This window comes from Homo sapiens, chromosome 12 (assembly GCF_000001405.40).
Source record: "Homo sapiens chromosome 12, GRCh38.p14 Primary Assembly".
Taxonomy (NCBI): domain Eukaryota; kingdom Metazoa; phylum Chordata; class Mammalia; order Primates; family Hominidae; genus Homo; species Homo sapiens.
In genome coordinates, this window is record NC_000012.12 from 67,593,499 (window position 1) to 67,599,498 (window position 6,000).

Below are 6,000 nucleotides of genomic sequence, written 5' to 3' on the forward strand. Positions count from 1 at the left end.
CAGATACACCCACAACCAGTGAGTTTCAAAGCCAAAGGAAAACAACAGGCCTTTGATTAGGCTGTACCTACTCCAGTGCAGGAGGGCACCGCAGCAGCTGGGGGAGCCTGGCTTCACCACCTCTTTTCATTCTCCAGAGATGGGTGGAAAACAGTGTGTGGGTTGGAATTAAGGAATTGGGTTGACTAGCCCAAGGCTGGTTGGGAGCCTGCAGTTCAGAGAGAGATTATTGCTTTATTGGCTCTGGTAAAAAAAAAAAAAAAAAAAAAAAAAATGTGACCATCTTACATCATCTCAGCAGGACTGAAAATTTCACATGATTATCAAAGTGCATGAAATGCTAGACAGATCATTGAATGTGAGTGGAAAGGGAAAGGAGGGGTTGGTGGAGCAGAGGTAGATGCCCACTTTCTCACCAAAAAGAGCATCAGGACCTACTAATGGGTGCAGGAAAGTGAGTCAGATCTGGCCTTAAGGAAGTATCCTGAGTACCCACCAGTGCTCAGTTTCCTTATTGATATATCACTAGATACCAGCTACCATGACTTCTCTGCTCCTTTCCTGTCAATGACCACCCAGCTGAACCCTGCTCAGAAAAACTCTCCTTGCTTCAAGAGGGATTGTGTGGGCTTAGCTCAGGTTCATGGAAACACCCTGCTTGTTTCTTTCCTGTGGAGTGGATGGTGAAAGGAGTTGTTAGCACCAGTCAGCTTTTTCTTATCAAGTAACTTCATTATTTCTAGGGCAGCCACATACCCTTGTTTGTCCCAGACAGAGGGGTTTCTGGGACGCAAGACTTTTACTGCTAAAATCAGGAAAGTTCCTGGCAAACGGGGATGAGAAGTCACCCTAATTGTCACAGTATCTGATGAGGTGCCAAATGAGTAAGGGACAGTCAACACTGATGAAGGTTGGAATTGGTAGCTGGGAGTTTTGTACAATGCTGTGTATTTTACAATGCACTTTCACACACACTATCTCATTTTAATCTTATAACAAATTAAAGAGGGCAGAGGAGGTATTACTATTGCTTCATGTTGATGAAAAAATTGAGCCACAAAGATTAAGTGACTAGCTCAATGACACAGAGCTGGTTAGTAGCACAAAATTCGGGTGTTGCTTCCAACTCTCTGTGGAGTGAGATAGGAAGCAATTGATAGCTGGAGTCTGTGTTCTTTCTGCTGTACCATGTTGTCTCTCCAGTTATAGGGAGAATGGAATTCCTTTTTCTCTCATCACTTGCCTTTGTTTTTTCTTGTTATGATGCTCTGTTGTAGAGTGACAATCTTGCAGTGAAGAATAATTCAATGGAAATTCATAGCTTTGTCCCCAACCACCAACAACCAGGAAGCACAAATGCTCAGACATTAGCTGTGACTTCTACCCAAAGGCAAGGTAAAATGTCATTGCCAAGGATTACATTCAAATGACCTCTAATGTGGTTTTCTGATGGAGGGAAGAACTGAAGACAACACTAGTTCATCAGAAAATGCTGAGTGGAGAATTGCAGAGGTAGGGAGAAGAGAGAGCTGTGCATCTTAAGGCAAGATGACAGGCTCAGAAGTCAACAGCCTCAAGCAGAAGCATGCAGGGTTCTGGGATGAGAAACATGACTCAGCATTTATCCTTTCCTATAAAACATAGCAGCGTGTTAAGGCTGCATTTGAAATTTTACACTAAGGCCAGTGATAATATCTAAATTACGGTCATGACATGCATAACTTGATATCAGGTAGACTAGAAATTCTTCCTAAAATTAGAGAAGTTACAACCAAACCCAAACCTATCATTTCTGTATCCAATGACAGTCACAAAAGTATGAATATCTATGAGGAATTATAATGAATCTAAAATTTCTCTGGCCAGTCCTATTTCTTTTAGAATGTCAAGCAGCATTTGATTTATGATAATGGCTCAGATTTTCAAGATTAAATTCATGTTGGTATACTGTCTTTTAAAGCATGAAAACCCATTTGCTACAGAATGATATAATCATAATCTGCACTATAAATGAAAAGGCTTTATGTTGGCAAAACAAACATCTCTGAGATGCAGTAGAGCGATATGGTATACTGGTATGTACGGCGTGAAGAAAAGAGCTAGGGTTTTGCAATCAGCAGATTCAAGTTGAAATTCCAGTTGTGTTAGTGTGTGATGTTGGATGTTAAGTCTCAATTTTTTCATCTGTAAAATGTAAATCTTGTAGATTTGTTGTACTCTTAGATTTGTGGCCTCATAGATTTGCCTCCTCAGCTTCCTCTGTCTTGTTGCTTCTGTGGACAGCACATGGAACAGGGAACACAAGAAGGTTTCAAAAGATTTAAAATCATGGTTTTTAACATGTCTAAGATGTTATATGGTAAACTCCTTCCACCCATCAGCACTATCTCTCCTATACCAGGAGTAAGCCATAATATTTGTTTTACAAACTGCAATACTTAAATGCTTTTGGAGCAATTGAAATGCTTAAAAAATAGAAAAAACATCTCCAGTTCACCTTATCAAAAGCTGCAAGGACCCCTTCTTCCTTTATATAAAAATATTGACACACCTAGGCACACTAAGGGGCGTGTGAGATAGATTGGCAATTCAGATCTCCTGGCCCTTCACACTGGTCAATACCCACTTAATGCCACACTTGAGGCTTTTCCTCACATGCAGGGAAGCTGTAAGAGTTTAAATGACCTAATGGCTATAAAAGTTCCTAGAAGGGTACCTAGCTCAAAACAATGCATTCTCCCTTCCAACTTTGTTTTCTGGGTTCCACAGTTATTGAGACATTTTCCATTTGATATCACACAATTTTTTTTTTGCCAGTGTACCCAGAAGAATGCACTCTGATGATTCTATGTGTTTTTAGAAGGAGGGCCGAAGGACGCAAATTTTATTCAGTTATCTAAAAGTCTGACTGCCTGAAGTGATATTATTATTTCAGTTGTTAGAAAACTACGTAAGTATAGATAAGATAAAAATTGAATCATGTTGATTCTAGTCATCTATCAGCTTTTTTGTAGTAGTGATTTAATATTAACTTAATATTTTATGTTGTAAAAAGTTAGGAATCTTGTTTACATGTTAGAAATAGTTATGTTGCTGTCCTCCCTAAAATCCATAAAGCAGAAATTATATATAAATAAATTTACAGGTGCCTTTAGTCATGATGAAGGATTTCTCAGAATTCTTCTTTTCTTTTTTTTTGAGACAGGGTCTCTCTCTGTGTTGCCCAGGCTGGAGTGCAGTGGCGTGATCTCGGCTCACTTAAGCCTTGGCCTCCTCGGCTCCAGTGATTCTTCCACCTCAGCTTCCCTGGTAGCTGGGACTACAGGCACACAACACCCTGCCTGGCTAATTTTTGTATTTTTTATAGAGACGAGGTTTTACCATGTTCCCCAGGCTGGTATCAAACTCCTGGACTCAAGCTATCCTTCCACCTTAGCCTCCCAAGGTGCTATGATTACAGGCGTAAGCCACCGCACTCAGCACCTCAGAATTCTTGAATATAAAATTGCTCTGATTTATTTGACTATAGAAATGACTGAAAAATCTCAGCATTTTAAACTTTTTTTGTATACCCTGTTTCTAACTGCACTAAGATAAACAGTACAGTTATGTGTGTATATTTATATATTTTTTCCATGTTGGGGTATTTTCTGATCTTTCTCTAAAAAGCCATATATGACAATTAGCAGTAAGATGGAAAAGATAAAAGATATATTTGAGTTAATTTGGATAAAAAATAGACTTTTCTATTTAAGATTTCAAAATATTAATGACCTAAAACAAAACAAATTTTGCTGTTGGTCAGTTTTACTCTGGTTGAAGTAATGCATATTAGAAATAAAAGAAATCTTAAATAAGGACCATCTTCTAAATGTTAGCCAGGGGAGAAAAAAATAACAATGAGTCTTATCTACTGTTAAAGACTGTTTGTATCCTCCCAAAATTAATCTGTTGAAGCCCTAACCCCCAGTGTGATGGTGCTTGCAGATGGAGCCTTTGGAACATAATTAGGTTTAGATGAGGTCCTGAGGGTACAGCCCTAATCCCATGATATTACTGCCCCTAGAAGAAGAAACACTAATGAGTTTGCTCTCTCTCTCCACCACGTAAGGACACAGCAAGAAGGCAGCCATCTGCAAGCCATGAAGAGAGCCCTCACCAGAAACAAAGCATGCCGGCACCTTGATCTTGGACTTCTAGACTCCAGAACTGTGAGAAAATACATTTCTGTTGTTTAAGCCACACAGTCTGTGGTGTTTTGTTACAGTGGCTTGAGCAGATTAATCTGTTTACCAAAGGGAAGATGGACGTACACGCTATGGCTAGGAAGGAATGATAACTTATCATTGAACCTAAATGTAGGGGATGTCCTGCCTAAAATTTTGACCATGCTTTTATTTGTGTGTATGTATTTTTGTTTTGTTTTGTTTTTGCTCCTGGGTCAGCCTTGGGAGGGTAAATCACTACTGAAAGAAACATGGCTTTGTCCCCCAAAAAAGGATGAACATGTAGACCCTCTGGGAGTAATCAAGGCCTAGTATTAAGGAAAGACAGGGAAAGGTCAGGAGGCCTTTACTTCTGTGAGTGTCTGGAACCCAAAAAGACAATAAAAGCCTGCTGCGGATTAGGGCCTCAAAGTCAGTAGCTTCCTAGCCTCATTCTTGGAATTTACATCCCCAGGAAGAAAAAAGGGTTGCTGGTTGGGAGTCCTCAAATGGTAGGCTATTAGGCCACTTGTGACATGGCACTCTTGAGACAACTGGTGCATTGGAGGATAGTTTCAAGGTAAACAGTGAACCTGGAGCTCCTTGCCTAAGCTTGGATTTGAGCAAAAAAAAAAAAAAAAAAAAAAAAAAATAGCTTTGTTCAAAAATCCAAAATGGCAGAACCAGCTTCCTGAAAGACATGGCTCCTCATTTCCATCCACCCCCACAGACCTGGACCAGAAATATTCCTCAGTGCCCTTTAGATCTTATGGAACAAGTTTTCTTCAGTGATACCACATGTTGGTGAGAAGCTATGACAATAAATGTCTGATCTCTGCTTAGGTGTGGAAGTCAGACAAATTCCTCTATTCACAAAACCCCACAGATTGAGTGGCTTAATCTGTGTTTGCCTTTAGGGTTCTTTGATATTGAAAGACAAAGGGTAGTCTCAAGAGTAAGAGACTGAACTTGATAATCTCGCATGTGTGTGTTCAAGTTGATTTTTAAATTTAATTTAGAATAGAAAAGAAATGTGTATATCTCTGCAGTTGACAAATTTGGTTAACTACAGGCATAACTGTAGCAGTGTGTGCATAGTAATTGTCAGTAAGTGCCCTTTGAAAGATTTAAAGTCAAGTGGATGTTGGTTCAGAAAGGGATCATGGTCCATGTGTTTCTTTTCAAATGAATGAATGAATTTCTTTCCTGGCCGAGGTTGAGAGACTGCAGTGAGCTATGAGCTATCATCGTACCACTGCACTCCAGCCTGAGTGACAGAGCAAGACCCTGTCTCAAAAAAGAAAAAAAGGAGAATTTATTTCCCAAATGGTTAACATGCTGTTGAATATGAAAACTAAGTGAGACTGAAAATGACAAACTCATTTCTGTATTTGATCTTTTTAGCAATATTCTCAATTCCTCTCTCAAGCTACCTTCATGGAAAAATAGGAAAAACAAGTAAGATCTAACTCTGCAAAAGAATAGAGTTATAATTTTATTCACCATTTGTGAATCTCTATGAAAATGGAAAATCTGGTGAGAACAAATATAGTCAGTAATATCCTGATGAATAGATCAGGTATAAAATCTGGATACTAATGAACCATATTAATGTACCCAATTAAGTGTTTTAAGGTGAAAATCAATTATGCTTTCTGGTGTTGTCTTAGTTCATTCACGCTGCTATAACAAAATACCTTAGGCAGAGTATTAAAAACAACAGCAATTTATTTCTCACAGTTCTGGAACTTGGAAGTCCAAGATCAAGGCACCAACAGATTTGGTGTCTGGCGAG